The 17,603-nt window shown below is 40.2% G+C and overlaps 1 long non-coding RNA gene across 1 annotated transcript in view; it reads left to right on the top strand.

Annotated features, from left to right (window-relative positions):
* Positions 1–7,295, top strand: part of LOC105374041 (uncharacterized) — a 28,575-nt gene extending 21,280 nt beyond the window's left edge. The window contains exons 2-4 of the long non-coding RNA XR_924334.3: positions 1,200–1,230; positions 2,535–2,733; positions 7,036–7,295. This is a non-coding gene — a long non-coding RNA (uncharacterized LOC105374041). The remainder of the gene's footprint in view (positions 1–1,199; positions 1,231–2,534; positions 2,734–7,035) is intronic.
* The last annotated feature ends 10,308 nt before the right edge of the window (positions 7,296–17,603 follow it).

Here is a 17,603-nt window from a genome sequence, read left to right as displayed (position 1 = left end):
GCCTAACTATAGCCAAAGAAGTGACAAACTAAAGAACTTTCTGGAAGTAATTTCACAGAAAATACCAAGTAAAGCACATACTAATTTGGGTAAGATTTAATCTGCCTGCCAGGAGTATTCATCATGTGGATTGTGCTGTGGTTACAAAGAACACCAAAACTGTTTCCGCACTCAAGATGCGTGCATGTGCTGGGAAGGGGAACAGACAAATTAAAGAAGAAGACAGGCAGTAAGTAGTGTGTAGAGCCATGAGAGGGGATCTTCTGACTCTGGGAAACGGTAGAGTTGGTCTCAGAGAAAGCACTCTGGAGAGGAAGAAGGGGCACCTGAAATCTAGATATGTGTTAATTTACTTAGTTCAGCAGTTGCAGATTCAAGCTCTATGAGAGGTCAGGGAGGTAACCGAGATGAGTGTAACACCCTGTGGACAAGATAAGATGTGGTGGGGTCTTGGCAAACCAAGCATCATAGCCAGTCTACGGGAAGCAGTGGGCAGTCCTCTGGCCGAGTGTATGAGTCTGTTTTCACGCTGCTGATAAAGACATACCTGAGACTGGGAATAAAAAGAGGTTTAATTGGACTTAACAGTTTCACATGGCTGGGGAGGCCTCAGAATCATGGCAGAGGCTAAAGGTACTTCTTAAATGGCAGTGGCAAGAGAAAATGAGGAAGATGCAAAAGCAGAAACCCCCGATAAAACCATCAGATCTCGTGAGACTTATTCACTATCATGAGAACAGTGTGGGGAAAACTACCCCAGTGATTCAAATTATCTCTCACTGGGTCCCTCCCACAACACATGGGAATTATGGGAGTACAATTCAAGATGAAATTTGGGTCGGGACACAGAGCCAAACCATATCATTCTGCCCTTGGCCCCTCCAAATCTTATGCCCTCACATTTCAAAACAAATCATGCGTTCCAACAGTTCCCCAAAGTCTTAACTCATTTCAACATTACCCAAAAGTCCACAGTCTAAAGTCTCATCTGAGACAAGGCAAGCTCCTTCCATCTATGAGCCTACAAAATCAAAAGCAAACCAGTTACTTCCTAGATACAATGGAAGGTATGGGGTAAATACAGCTGTTCCAAATGAGATAAATTGTACAAAATAAAGGGGTTACAGGGCCCATGCAAGTCCAAAATCCATTGGGGCAGTCAGATTTTAAATCTCTAAAATGATCTCCTTTGATTCCAGGTCTCACATCGAGGTCACGCTGATGAAAAAGGTGGGTTCCCATGATCTTGGGCAGCTCCACCCCTGTGGCTTTGCAGGGTACACCCTCCCTCCCAGCTACTTTCACAGGCTGGCATTGTGTGTCTGTGGCTTTTCTAGGCAAACGGTGCAAGCTATTGGTGGATCTATCATTCTGGGGTCTGGAGGACAATGGCTCTCTTCTCACAACTCCACTAGGTGGTGGCCCAGTAGGGACTCTGTGTGGGGCTCTGACCCCACATTTCCCTTCTGCACTGCCCTAGCAGAGGTTCTCCATGAGTGCCCTGCCCCTGCAGCAAACTTCTGCCTGGGCATCCAGGGATTTCCATACATCTTCTGAAGTCTAGGCGGAGGTTCTCAAACCTCAATTCTTGACTTCTGTGCACTCATAGGCTCAATACCACATGGAAGCTGCCAAGTCTTGGGGCTTGCACCCTCTGAAGCCACAGCCCGAGCTCTATGTTGGCCCCTTTCAGCCACAGCTGGAGCAGCTGGGATGCAGAGCACCAAGTCCCTAGGCTGCACACAGCATGGGGATACTGGGTCTGGCCTAAGAAACCATTTTCTCCTAGGCCTCCAGGCCTGTGATTGGGGGGGCTGCCATGAAGACCTCTGACATGTCCTGGAGTCATTTTCCCCATCCTCTTGGGGATTGACATTCAGCTCCTTGTTACTTATGCAAATTTCTGCAGCAGGCTTGAATTTGTCCTCAGAAAATGGGATCAAACCATATCACCAAACACAGGCTGAGGTTTTTAAAAAGCAAGCCAGGGAATTCATACTTCTATAGAAAAGGTTTTTTAAAAACTTCTCTATTTTGTTAAAACACTTGGTAGGCCAAACAAAACACATTTGCTAGTGGAGGAGGTCATTCATGACCAATTTTTTACTTCTGCTCTGTTAATTAAGGCTTTTCTAGAATTCTATATTTAAAATGAAAATTTCTTTATTGGAAATAATTGTAATACCTTAGTGTGAATGGTGTATTTGATTATTTTAATTGGAGTAAATGGAATTAGTGCTTTTTAAGTCTCTCTTATGGGCTAGGTTACCAGGAAAATAACTCTTAGCATCCTAGAAAGAAGCAATGCTTTCAGGATGAAAAGGATAAAGTCTGCGAAGCCCTCAGGTAAAGATGGAAAGAAACACTGGAAGGGAAGGAGCAAGTAAGAGGACTCTGGGAGAGGTGATCTCCTTTTATTGTGCATTCAATTCCTTTGTAGAGTTGGGGAAAGGGAGATATTTTAGCAAGGGTCAGTCCTGGCTACTATTCTGGGACAGTAATAAATTAGTTTTCTTTTTCTTTTGTTCATTTAGGAACTACAGTACTGTTATGTCAGTAACATACATCACAGTCGTACGTCTCCAGGCTTCTTATCTTCCTTTGAACCTGACCTGGCTACTGTTTGGTGGATTATAGAGGAAAAGCTGTAATGGGAAAGTAGGTTGGGTGAAGGGATGAGAAAAAGGAAAGCATCGTGGAGCACATTAGCAGGCTTTCTCCATGAAGAAGCAGGTATGTGCCCAGTGGAGACTCACAAGACGGGAATTATAGACCTTTTTTCTCTCTTCTTTTCACTTCCTACATGCTTTTTTTCCCTCCCTACCTTTTCCATTTGCTCTCCACTCCTTAAAGGAGACGTATACCTCAATGCCCTGGGATGTGGAGGGGTTGGAGGCAGCAAAATGTTAGTGCCACTGTGTACCAGTCTACCCTGGACTCTTGACATGCCAGCAGAAATGTGTACTTTCCATCAGAACCAAGGCACCATGCAAACCTTGTCAGAAATTCACAGAGAACCAACTGGGTATGGTGGCTCACGCCTGTAATCCCAGCACTTTGGGAAGCTGAGGTGAGTGGATCACGAGGTCAGGAGATCGAGACCGTCCTGGCTAACAGGGTGAAACCCCGTCTCTACTAAAAATAGAAAAAATTAGCCGGGCCTGGTGGCAGGCGCCTGTAGTCCCAGCTACTGGGGAGGCTGAGGCAGAATGGCATGAACCAGGGAGGCGGAGCTTGCAGTGAGCCAAGATAGCACCACTGCACTCCAGCCTGGGAAACAGAGACAGACTACGTCTCAAAAAAAAAAAAAAATTCACAGAGGACCAAAAAAGCATGCTGTGGACAGATTTGCTACCTGTCTATGCTGACACACCCTTTAAAAACATTCCACCTAGAGTCCCGATAAGTAATAGTCAGACCATATACTCTGACTTTTAGTTGTGATCAAAGACCTGAAGAGTTTTCCTGGTGGCACAATGAGTGTTCAAAAGACTAAAAAAGGAGTATATGGTGTAAATAATGTGTAAGTAAATGCTATCATTTCCACGCTGGACTAGCATTACTAGGAGAATAGATGAGTCAATCAGAGAGGAGAGGCAGAATGTCTTCATGGAAGAGAAGTAACCTCACTAGTTATACCACGGTGATTAAGGGATTTCTTTCTCCAAACACCATTGGGCTCTGCTAGCTGCCAGATTCTTGCAGCCCCTGACAGAGTGAAAGGCCCAAAGCATGGGTAGTGGCAATTTATTCCTAGACCTAGGGACCTAATCTTTAGAAGCAGAAAATAGAATTGTCCTTAAGGGTGGGAATACAATATGGGAGGGAACAGACATATATTTAGGGCCTATGCCAAGCACAAGATCGGGAACAGAAGTGGGCGTTACAGAGTACGTTCATCAGCTGCTTGTTCAAGAGGTGGCCTAGCTGTTGTTTCAGTGTCTTAAACAGTCAAGCATGTTTAGTCATGCCTGCGGGTTCTTTTGCAATCCAGTTTCCTCAGAAACTGACAAGGCTTCTATACTATTTTCCTCCCAGTGAGTTCTGTTTCCAGGACATACACAATATTCTTAGATATACTTCTTACGTATAGTTTTCAAGCCTGTCTTACTTTTTTGCTTCCCCACCTCTACGCCTCGCTCTCAGTTTAATTGCAGCTAATTTGAAGGCTAGTAGGCTCAAGCAAGAAGATATTGCATCTCATTTTTTTTCTCCTCAAATAAGAAATTCAAGTCTGAAGAAAGTTAGAAAATGTTTTCAAAGTTACAAAATTAATAATTGGCAAAGTTATCAGGTGCAGCGGCTCACGCCTGTAATCCCAGCACTTTGGGAGGCTGGGCTGAGGCGGGTGGATCACCTGAGATCAGGAGTTCATATTGGCCTGGCCAATATGGTGAAACTCTGTCTACTAAAAATACAAAAATTAGCCTGGCGTGGTGGCAGGCACCTATAATCCCAGCTACTCGGGAGGAGGAGACAGGAGAATCACTTGAACCCAGGAGGCAGAGGTTGCAGTGAGTGGAGATTGCACCATCGCACTCCAGCCTGGGCAACAAGAGTGAAACTCCATCTCAAAAAAAACAAACAAAAAAATTGGCAGAGTTGAGATTCTATCTTGCATTCCTCAGACTTAGAAACCTGTGCTGTTTTTCTTTCATTAAGCCCAGTAGAGAATTCTCAGCATTTCTGACAGTTTGGAAGACAGGTACTTAATGGACTATAGCCTCCTCGGCAATGTCTGGGAGACCTGTGATATAAAGTGGAGTCTGGACATTAAAAAAAGAGAGAAAAGGAGAAGAGAAGGTAGAAAAGAAAAGTGTACCATAGAGACAAAGAAAAGAAGTAAATGCATATGTTCCAGTAGAGTGGCCTTGGGCCTCAGTGGAGTTCAAGCAAAGGTGTCCATTCTTGGAATATCCTGCTAAGACTGTGGTCTCTTAATCATGTCTAATTTTACTACCACATTTTAAAATATGGTAAAGAATATCTTAGTTCATTTTGTGTTGCTATAAAGGAATGCCTGAAGTTGGGTAGTTTAGGAAGGAAAAAAGGTTTATTTGGCTCACAATTCTGATTGCTGGAAAATTCATGATTGGGCACCCACATGTGGTGAGGGCCTTAGGCTGCCTCCACTCATGACAGAAAGTGAAGGGGTGATGATGTGTGCAGAGATCACATAGCGACAGAGGAAGCAAGAGAAGGGGGCAGATTCCAGGCTCATTTTAACAACTAGCTCTCTCAGAAACTAATATAGTGAGAATTCACTCACCCCCAAGGGAGGACATTAATCTATTCACGAGGGATCTGCCCCCATGACCGAAACACCTCCCATTCGGCCCCACCTCCAACATTAAGGATCAAATTTCAACATGAGATTGAAAAGCATAACAAAGAACAAGTAAAGGAAAACTGAAAATGTGGGTTATATCAAAGTCAAACTGTGAAATTTGAGAACTGCATTTATTTAATCCTACTGACCTTTAGTTTCCTCCCCTGTAAAATGTGAATAGTGGTACAATATTGTAGATTCATTGCAAAGATAAAGCCATATAAGTTGAGTTCATAGCACAGTATCTGGCTCATAAAGAGATAGCAAATGCATCATCTCCTTCCTCTCTCCTTAAAAAATTTGTTTTATTTTGCAGTTATTTTCTAAAATTTGATTCTGTAAAATCTTTTTTGTGTTGACAATTCCAAAAGAAATTGATGTCAACATAGTTCTGCCAAGTTGCTCAAAAAGCAGGAGGAGGGCAGAAACATGAAGTAGAGATAATTTGCTTTCTGTGACCAACCTCTCATCCCCAAATCCCCAGTAGAATCCTAGATACATGAGTGATACATGGTGGTGATATGCCCCAGAGATTTGGTGGTGGTTTATAACACAGTCATGGCATTAGATAACTGACACAGTCATCATGGGTGAATTGCACAGAGTCAGAGGAAGTAGTATCAAATGAAGCTGATAAAGTGGCTAGAGGCCAGATTGTTGACCCTGTTACAGATCTTAGCTATCTTAAGAACAGTGGAAGCCATTGGAGAATATGAATCAGAGTTACGTAACATCATTATCAGAATTTAGAAAGATTACTTGGGTGTGTTGTAAAGAATGGATTGGCAATATTTCAGACAAGCAATGATAATGTCTAGAATAAAGGCAGTAGCAGTAGAGATGCAGAGATGTATATTTTATATTTAGGATGTTACAGTAATAAGGCTTTGATCAAAGTCCTATTTCATCAAATGGAAACAAATGGGGAAGTATTATGCATTCCTGCCAGATTTCTGGCTTGTGTGTATGATGGTTAATATTGAGTGTCAACTTGATGGAATTGAAAAGTGCAAAGTACTGTTCCTGGATGTGTTTGTGAGGGTGCTGCCAAAGGAGATTAAAATTTGAATCAGTGGGCTGAGAGAGGCAGACCACCCTCAATCTGAGTGGGTGCAATCTAATCAGCTGCCAGAAAGACTAGAATAAAGCAGGCAGAAGAAGGTGGGAGGAGCCGACTTGCTGAGTCTTCCGGTCTTTATCTTTCTCCCGTGCTGGATGCTTCCTGCCCTTGAATATCAGACACCAAGTTCTAAAGCTTTTGGACTGTGAGACTTATACCGGTGGTTTGTCAAGGGCTCTTGGGCCTTTGGCCACAGACTGAAGGCTGCACTGTCAGCTTCCCTACTTTTGAGGTTTTTGGACTTGGACTGACTTCCCTGCTCCTCAGCTTGCAGACAGCCTACTGTGGGACTTCAACTTGTGATCGCATGAGTCAATACTTGTTAATAAACTCCCCTTCATATATACATCTATCCTATTAGTCCTGTCCCTCTAGTGAACCCTGTGCCCAAATGGATGATGACACCATCCCCTGTTGATATGGACAGGAAACAGGGAAACACTAGGTAGAAGAGGGTGGTTCCCTGGCAAAGGCCCCTATCTCAAGCCTGAAGTCCTGTGGTCCTAAATGGGGACAGGCATTTCTGTTTTCATGTGAAGAAGTTGCCTTTTGGCCCACCATGCCCTCTATCCTGTATTCATATAAGCCCCAGGCTCCAGAAGCAGATGAGAAGATGAGGAGACAAGCAGATGGATTGCAAAATGGTGCAATAGAGAAAGAGAAAAGAAGAGGAATGTCTGAACACTGAGAGATTTCCAGCTGGGGTGGTCAGAGAAGGGTTCAGCCACAAGATGGCCAAAATCCAGGGAAGATCTTCTTCCCACTCCATTCCCTGCTTCTTGTTCCCCATCCATCCCACTGAGAGCCACCTCTACCACTCAATAAAACCTCTCATTCATCCTTCAAGCCCGTGTGTGACCTGATTTTTCCAAGATGCTGGGCAAGAGCTCAGGACACAGAAAGCTGTTGAACTGCCCCTCTGCCCTTGCAGAAAGGCAGAGAGTCCACTGAGCTGATTAACACCCAAGCCATTCGTGGATGGCAAGGCTAAAAGGGCACATTGTAACACACTCCACTTAGGCTCCTTCACCTGCCTGTCTGTGTGCTCCCCCTCCCCTAAGGGGTTTGAGGAGTGCTGGTGACTGAACAGGCGAGCCACACCCATCATATGTCCTTCGAGGGGGATCAGGGAACTCTCCTGTTTCACTGTAATAGAGAAAACTGGAGGAGGACCAGTTATGGGACTGGGAAAGACCAGGAGTTCAGCTTTGGACCTGTTCAGTTTGAGTTGCCTGTAAGTCAGCCAGTGGAGATGTTTTGTAGACAGCTGGATACATATATCTGAGCTCCAAGGAGTTAGAAGTAGTAATTTTGGACTTGTGAGTGTATAGATCATAACTGAAGACATGGCATGGATGAGATCACACAGGGAAAGAGTACACTATGAGCAAACAAGACAGCCTCTATCCAAGTTTTCGAGAATTGCAAAATTTAAAAATTAAGTACAGGAGGTTGGGCTGGAAAGATGAGAAAATCAAGGGCACATCATATTACAGATGACAATGAATTTCAAGAAAGAGTCTAATGTGAGACATGTACAGAAGAGGTAAAGAAAAATCATTAAACTTAGTGATATGGAGGTCACTAGAGTCCTTCTAGAAAGCAAAAAATTGCTTAGAATTTCAAGGGGACCGTGGAGTTGTCCCCTTATGTATGCCCCTGAGCCCAGGTTAAGAACTCCTACCTGTGGATTCCAAACAGTCATCTAACAGGGTAACCTAACTGGATTCAAAGTATTAATTTTCTACTCTCTCAATGGCAAGAAAAATTGCTTAGCTAACTTTAATGTCATTTGAAACTATGTGATTTTGTGTCCCAGGCAGGCTAGAGGTTCAAAGAAAGAGGTTATATTAATATAAATAAGGCAGCTTCTTTATTTGTCCATCGGAAAGTCTGTTCGTCTGCAATCATAGAAAGCATTAGATAAATCAGCTGCAGGGAGATAGCTGTACAGATGCGAAGCTCTGCCTGATGATTCCAGCCTATTTTCCTGGCATAATCAACAGTGACTTATTCCTTCCCTGGAAACTAATCTTCCTGTTTGGACCAATTGTATTATTCTTAACCACACCGTAGGTTATGGGCAACAGCATGAGTAAAATCTGGGAATTCCTGAGATGCGCTTCCAAAAAACTATGGTCGGGAATATGTAAATCTGAATAAATAAGAGCATGAGTTTATAAAAATTTCCAGTTCCACCCAATAAACTCTCTTCCTCCCTTTTTTTAAGAGATAAGATCTCGCCCTGTCACCAGCCTCTCTCCCTTTTGACCATTGAACCACTGAAACCCAACTCCAATTACTGAAGCCAACTATTTCATAACTCAGTCTCTCACACTCTTGAGCAGATTCAATAATAGGAAAGTTTATCTTTCACTTTTTCTGTTTTGGTTCTGGTCCTGCTCTCTGGATCTTTGTGTTAGTTTCCTATGGCTGCCATAACAAATGACCACAAATATGGTGGCTGAAAATGATAGAAATTTATTCTCTCACAGTTCTAAAAGCAAGGTGTTTGCAGAACTACATTCCATCCAAAGGCTCTAGGGGCAGTCTGTTCTTACCTCCTCCAGCTTTTGATGGCTCCAGATGTTCCTCAGCGTGTGGCCACATCACTCTAATTTTTGCTTCTGTGGTCACATTGCCTTCTCCTGTCCTCTGTATGTCTCGTATAAGGACACTTTTTACTGGATTTAGGGCATGCCCAGATAATCCAGAATGATCTCATGTCTAGACTCTTAAATTATATCTGCACAGACTCACTTATGAAATAATATCATATTCATAGGTTCTGGGGATTAGGATGTAGACCTATATTTGGGGGGATACAATTCAACCCACTACCACCTCCAATGAACACATCTATTTTCTCTTTCATAGAACTGCTTTTTCAATGGTTGAAGAAGCTGTTAGATTTCCTCTTGTTCATATTAAGGAAAAAATGGCTGATGTTACTGAAGCTCTACAATGTTCCAGGCATGTGCCAAAATAATATTACAATGTTAGCGTCTATTTTTACTTCCTATTCATTACCATTTCCCTTTTGTGCGTTATAACAGGTGGGGTCTTTTTGCTCACTGCCTCAGGAAAAGGATGTGGCGAGGGAAAAAGAATAGTAACTTATTCTTATTTTACAAAATGCTAAAATCTCAAGCTTTTGGGTAAAGTGAATCAGCACACGTGTGGGGAGAGAGAAGGAACAGAGCAGAGACAGGGAGACGATCTATGGATCCCATGAAAGAGGGTGCATGGGTAGATGTGATTGTGCTCAAACTGTCAAATAGGATGCTGCAAGGAGCCTGGGGCAAGTCACAACAGAAGAATTACAATTTGGCTGGTGTGGTGGCTCACGCCTGTATTCCCAGCACTTTGGGAGGCCGAGGTGGGCGGATCACCTGAGGTCAAGAGTTTGAGACCAGCCTGGCCAACATGGTGAAACCCTGTCTCTACCAAAAAAAAAAAAAAAATTACCTGGGTGTGTTGGTGGGCACCCGTAATCCCAGTTACTTGGGAGGCTGAGGTAGGAGAATTGCTTGAACCCGGGAGGTGGAGGTTGAGGTGAGCCAAGATTGTGCCACTACACTCCAGCCTGGGAAACAGAGCAAGACTCCATCAAAAAAAAAAAAAAAGAAAGAAAAGAAAAGAAAAAAAGAATTACAGTTCAAAGCTCGGTTTTGGAGTGAAGCCATACACATTTTCAGAAAAACGAAATTATTTCCTTTTGAGAAACAGCTTTTGGCTTACAATTGAGCCCTGGAAGTCCTTGATCATTGGGATACCAAGTTACTTTTTGCCCATAATTATGAACTGTGTGATTGATCCACCCAGGCATAAAGTCGGGCGTTCCCAATGACAGTATATCATCAAACAGAATTAGTATATATAAACCTAGGCTTGAGAAAGGCCTGAAGATACTGGTCCTCAGGATTAAATTAAGTTGTATGGGCAACTGACCATTCTTTCGGTGTATGTAGTCCTGTTGCATAGTCACCTGTCTCTCAACTATTTCAACTGCCTCAGTGGGAATTCCCATGAACAGCTGAATAAGGAACACAACAATCTAGACTGATTTATGAAGCAATGAAATTCAATATTCCACCTCATACTCTTTCAGAATTTTTGCTTCCTTTCCTGACAGCTCTGAATGAAACCACCCATGAAGACCTTTCAGCCAAAACCAAAGTTGCATCATTATCTGTGTGTGTAATCTTGAGTAAAATGTATTTCTTCATCTGTAAAATATAGGGGTCAGACATGATAGTTCTGAGGCCTCTTAGCTCAATGATTTTACTATTATCTGATGGGGGCCCATATACGATTCAATGTGGAAAAAAATAACAGGAAATCCACTATTTGGATAGTGGGTACACTAGAAGTCCAATCCCCAATAGTACATAATATATCTGTGTATCAAACATGCATATGTACCCCTGAGTATAAAATATAATAAAATAAAAATAAATAAATATATAACAAAAAATAAAATAAACAAAAAATAAAATAAAACAAAAATTACAGAAACTGAATATATCACCCAATTCCTCTGTCCCCTTTGTGCTATGAAACAATGGCAAAACCAAGAAATTTCCTTGTTTATTCCTTTGATATAGCCTGCCATTGACCAGAATGAAATATATCAAATTTCTGTCTTTAGAATAAACCTGAGTCTACGGAGTCAGATATCTGACTGAGGGAAATATTCACCAATTCAATTGAATTCATCTAACATTAGATCGCACATCCTTTTAGTGTCAGGGTCAAAATGCAAAGGCACACTTCCTATATTGGAACAGCCTTCTGTGGTGTGAACCCAGCCTATGTTTCCAGTACATTGCATGTTCCTTTCTCTGCTGCCCACCCTAACGTCCAGCCTAATGCTTCCCTTCCTTAGCCTCACTTGGTGTTCCACACCTCCTGCCTCTGCATATGCTGATCTCTCTGCCTGGAATATTTGTCATCCTGTAGTCCAACATTGTCACAGTTTATATGACGACTTCCCACAGCATCTCTAGAGAAAGCATCTTGTCTTATTTATTTTATATCAATAGAGCCAAGCAGAATACCTTTCTCATAATTGATGCTCAATAAATATTAGTTGGAATGAATGCTCAACCATGTGATTAAGCCAGTAGTTCTTACCTCCTGAGTCTATCTCAGGATAGAAGCAGTTCTCTTTTCACTCCATTCCCTCCTTCTTCAGTTCTCTGAAGTGGATTCTTCATTTATTCTCTGTGCTTCATTGCTCACCATCAAACTTTTGAATATGTCAGTTAGGTGTCCTTCTCACTTTTATTTGTTTCTTCTAATAGAGGAATGATATTTCTACGTAGCTATACTACTAACCCCAAACATGACCTCAATCTACTCTTTCATTACCTTACAAACTAGTGAAGTGGACTGTTTAATGACTAAAGGCTGGACTTCAGGTATTACTTCCTGGAGACATTCGCAAAGAGGTTTTAATTAAAATCACTTCAAAAATTTCTAACACATCAAAATTCTTTTCATCTAGTAATATCTAGCTTTATAACTGAAGAAATTACTTAGCCTTCCCGAGCATCTAGGGTTTGTTATTGCTGTTTCTTTGTAAATGAAATAAGGGTACCTTTTTATAGAGATGTCATGGATATTAATTGACACAGTATGAACAGCAATAAACACTGCATCTGGTAAAATAGTAAAGTGATCAATAATGTTAGCTGTTTTAATTATTATTATTTTATAGCACTTTACAGTTTTCTATGTGTAACCAGGGACTCATCTGATGAATCCTCATAATCACATAGTTGGGTAGATATTATGTCAGGAAACCCAGACTTGGAAATGCTTGCCTCATATTTTCCACTATATTTGTTCATTTAAGGATTAATTTTGATTGCCCCTTATTTTCACCAAAGTAACTCGAAGCAGTTTCAAAATATATATACTTAAAAAGTAGTCACCTGGGAATATTGGAACCAAGAAAAGGTGAGCAATCATGTACCAACCATAATGGTAAATAAATTCCATTGACTGAGTACCATATTTGGCTCTTAAAACAAATTAATGGTGGCTTTTCTGGATGGTGGTGTAATGGACTAATATTTTTTATGTCTCTACTTCCTTTATTTTTATTCTTCTGTACTTAACAATTTTTTATAATGAGCATGTATTATTTTTAATAATCAGCAAGAAGCATCTTAATCGGACGTTGGCTTCTTGACCATCAAGGCAAGAAGGAAAATTAGTCATTTATAGTCACACATTACTTAATATTGGAGATGTGCTCTGAGAAATGTGTCGTTAGGTGATTTTGTCATTGGGCAAACATCATAGAGTATACTTACACAAACCAAATAGTATAGCCTACTACACACCTAGGCTATCTAGTATAGCCTATTGCTTCTAGGCTACAACCCTGTGCAACATATTATTGTTCTGAATCCTGGAGGCAATGGTAACATCATGGTAGGTATTTGTGTATCTAAACATATCTAAACATAGAAAATGTACAATAAGAATATGATAGAAAAGATTTAGAAATGGTACATCTGTATAGGGCACTTACCATGAATGGAGCTTGCAGGACTAGAAGTTGCTCTGGGTGTCTGTGAGTGAGTGGTGAGTGAATAGGAAGGCCTAGGATATTACTGTAGACTTCTGTAGACTAAAAAATACTGTACATCTAGTATAAAAATAATTTTTCTCCAATGATAAATAACCTTAGCTTACTATGACTTTTTTACTTTATAAACTTTTTAATTTGTTTTAACTTTTTGACTCTTGTGGCAACACTTATCTTAAAATGCAAGCACATTATGCAGCTATACTAAAATATTGTCTTCATATTCTTATTGTATGAACACTTTGTATTTTAAATTTTTTTTACTCTTTCAATTTTTTTATTAAAAATGAAGACACAGACATACATATTAGCCTAGACCTACACAAGGTCAGGATCATCAATATCACTCTCTTCCACCTCCACATCTCGTCCCACTGAAAGATCTTCAGAGGCAATAACATCCAAAGAATTGTCGTCTCCTATAATAATGCTTTCTCCTGGAATACTTCCTGAAGGACCTTCCTGAGATTGTTTTACAATTAACTATATATTTAAAAGTAGAATGAGTACTCTTAAAACAATAAAAAGTATACTATAGTAAATTCATAAACTTGTAACATAATCATTTGTTATCATTATCAAGTATTATGTGCTATACATAATTGTATGTATTATACTTTCATATAAGTGGCAGCACAATAGGTTTGTATACACTAATATCACCACAAATGTTGTGAGTAATGCATTGCACTACAACCTTATGATGGCTATGACACCACTAGGTGAGAGGATTTTTTCAGCTCCATTATATAATCTTATGGGACCATTGTTGAATATGCAGTCTGTCATTGACAGAATCATCATTATGCAACACATGATTGTGTATAGTTAGAATAAAAAAGGAGACACAGGGAGGGGAACAACACACACTGGGGCCTGTCAGGGGAGGGTTGGGTGGAGGGGAGAGAGTATTAGGAAAAAGAGCTAATGCATGCTGGGCTTCATACCTAGGGCATAGGTTGATAGGTGCAGCAAACCCCAGTGGGACATGTTTACCTATGTAACAAATCTGCGTATGCTGCACATGTACCCCGGAACTTAAAAAAAGTTTTTTAAAGTAGAGAGTGTGCCAATTCCTTCAGGAAAGTAGTTTTTCTAGTATTGGTTTTCACTTGGAACACTAAGAAGTATAACGTACTTTAACTTCAGAATCATTTTTCAGCAAATACATTGACAATGCCTGAAAATGCTTCTTGTAGCATTGTTCCAGAAATGCAAGGAGTATAAGCAATTTCGTAATGGGCTAAGATCATGTGGTTCAAGAATAAATGCCAATTAAATGGATTTTGTGTTTTCAGTCAATTGTCCCTTAGGATCACTGTCAAATGAGGCCAGGAGTGAGTGTAAAGGAATGACTACTATGTCTGATTTAACAGTACTGAATTTGAAAATGTGTCAGGAACTGGCTATAATGGCTTGGAGTTCCTAAGGATGATAAATAAAATATGTGTTAAAAGTTTTGCAATTATGTGGTAAGTAGCATAACTCCAGAAATTATGAGGCACCTGCGCAGATGGGTGACCTCCCACCTGCATCCAGTTCAAGCCATGAGCAGGAATAGTCTGGTCATAGAGGAAGAAGTGATGCTGCCAGAGGTGTGAAGAGAGTATCATTTCAACTTGATTGTCTGCAATAGTGTATCCTCTGATAAATCATTGGTGGTCAAGAGAGTCACACCAACTGGTAAGAGAAACTATTGGAAACCTCTGTGCTATGTATCCTGGCCACACTTATTTTTTTTCTAAATCCAAAAGTATATTCTGTTTGCTTACCCAAACTGCATCAGTACACGGACTTTCTGTCAGCTCTTTCCTACTATGATACTTCTCAAGAGAATGGTTGTATACTCATTTTAACACCCATGCTTTGATGAATGATTGAGTGCAGAGTGTTTGGCATTCTGTTTTCATTGATAGAAGTCTATAGTAATGGAATTCAAGGTTGTTGAGAAAAAATTTTATTTGGAAACCAGATGAAAATGTGGCAGAGTTGAATATATTGTGAAAAAAAAGGAGATACTAGTGTTCTTGCTTAGCAAAGTAAGATATGAGTATTTTTTAAACTTTGGATTATAAGATTTTCAAACATACACCAAAATAAAGAGGAGAATATAAAGGCATCAATTTCAACAACGATCGATGTATGCCAATTTTATTCCCTATCATCCATACCCAAAATATCATAGCATTACATCTGTAATTATGTAGAATCAAAATATAAATTGAATTATAATAAACATATTTCTGGCTGGGCACAGTGGCTCACACCTGTAATCCCAGCACTTTGGGAGGCCGAGGCAGGTGGATCACTTGAGGTCAGGAGTTCAAGACCAGCCTGGCCGACATGGCAAAACCCCGTCTCTACTGAAAATACAAAAATTAGCTGGGTGTGGTGGCACACGCCTGTAATCCCGACTACTCGGAAGGCTGAGGCAGGAGAATCACTTGAACCTGGGAGACAGAGGTTTCAGTGAGCCAAGATCGTGCCACTGCACTGCAGCCTGGGCAACAAGAGTGAGGCTCTGTAAGAAAGGGAAAGAAAGAAAGAAAAAGAAAGAAAGAAAGAGAAAAAAGAAAAAAGAAGGAAAGGAAAGAAGGAAGAGAAAGAAGAAAACAACAAATAACATATTTCTGAATTTCATTTTCTATTCATGATAGTACTTCATGAATTTCCACAAGTCATTTCTAAATAATACATGCAGGTAGATTTATTTCGTCCTTTATTAAATATTTAATTTCTTCAGAACCAGGATTTTTAGTAGTGTCTTCCTCTGCAAATACCTCTCAGGACCCAGTACAGTGAGATGCCTAAAATGGTGCTTGATAAATGCTATCTATTGTGAGACACATGCTGTTGTTCTGATCAACATAACTGCTACTGGCAGAAACACATAATCTAATGATGAGAAATGCAGTGTCACTTTCTAATGAAAACCACTCATTAAAACATAAAGTTTATGACAAGAAAATTATATATTTATTTGGTATAAAATTATCACAACCTTCACCTAATAATATCAGCACCTCTATTCCATCTCTTGGTTAAATAAATGAAACAAAAATGGTGATCCAATCATGTAAAGTTACTTGTTTTCTTTCTTTTCATCTTTTCACCACTGTTGAAATGTTCTCTCCAATATATTTAGCTTTTGAAACTTCATGAGAGTGAATGGAAATTCATTCAAATCTGGCTTTGTAATGAGTGGTTCATGGTTTTTGGTTTGTTATTTTTAACCTGACGTATCTGGAAACGTTCCCCTCCCCAGACTTGTTTATTGGCTCTCCTGCTCTCTCTCCTCAAGATCCAAAGCTAAAAAACATGCTGTTGAAAACAAAACAACTCTAGCCAAGGGAAATCTATGCAATGGAAAAGGGATTCTCCAGAATAAAGTGTAACCTCAAAACTGTGCATATTATCTCTCAAACAGGATGAGTACCTTCTCACTGCCAAAGTAGTTGGAGGGACATCAAACACCAGTGATGGGAACACTGAACCTCACATAAGGTAAAGCGATTCAGGAAAGTTTTGGTAAGCTCTCAGGTCCTGAATATAGATATATAAACTTAGGAAATGGTTTTCTCTGCTGAGCGGTTTCCTCAGGAGATTGGTTCCAGGACCTCCATGGATACCTAAATCTGCAGATGCTCAAGTTCCTAATATAAAAGGGCATAGTATATTCATATCACCTATGCACATTTTCCCACATACTTTAAATCATCTCTAGATTACTTATAAACCTATTACAATGTAAATATTATACAAATAGTTGTTATACTGTATTGTTTTTAAATTTGTATTATTTTTATTCTTGTTTTTTTTTTCAGATATTTTTTATCCGTGATTGGTTGACTCCACAAATGTGGAACCCACAGATAGGGAGGGCTGAATGTATTTGCAATATTGTCTCTGATTTATTAGAAAATAAACTAACATGTATACAAGTTACTGAGCTAAACACAACCAGATCCAGAATCATGTGGTAATTGAAATGCTTCACCTGAGCAGCTGGGCTTCAGTGCCTCTGTAACTGCACTGGAACATAAAAGCTACTCCTAGAAACACACAACTCTCTCTCTTTTTGAGTTTCAAATTTCTGAGATAAGTGTCCCACTATCTAGACTAATATGAGTCCGGTTAAAAGTATTAAAGTATCTTTGGGGTATCTATGGAGTGTTTTTCAGGGGAAAAGTCATATGAGCCATGCAGGTACCTGCAGAAAGAACATTCCAGGCAGAGAGAAGAGGAAATGCCAAGGCTCTGAGATGGAAACATGTCTGAAATGTTGGTGAAATAGCCGGCAGACTAGTGATCAGGAGAGAGAGTAGGAGGTGACTTCAGAGATTATCAGTGAGCCCATTGTCTAGAGCCTTATAGCCCACGTAAAGACTTTGGCTTGTATTCTAGGTGAGATGGGAAGCACTTGGAAATTTTAGGCAGGAGAATTATGTGATTTGACTTGACATATTTTAGAACAGTTATGTTTCGAATAGACTGAAAGAGGAAGAACACGGAAGCATGAAGATTAATTAGAAAGCAATAACAATGATCTAGGA

The sequence above is a fragment of the Homo sapiens genome, chromosome 3 (genome assembly GCF_000001405.40).
Source record: "Homo sapiens chromosome 3, GRCh38.p14 Primary Assembly".
NCBI classification, from domain to species: Eukaryota; Metazoa; Chordata; class Mammalia; order Primates; family Hominidae; genus Homo; species Homo sapiens.
This window is presented reverse-complemented; position numbering and strand designations above follow the sequence as displayed.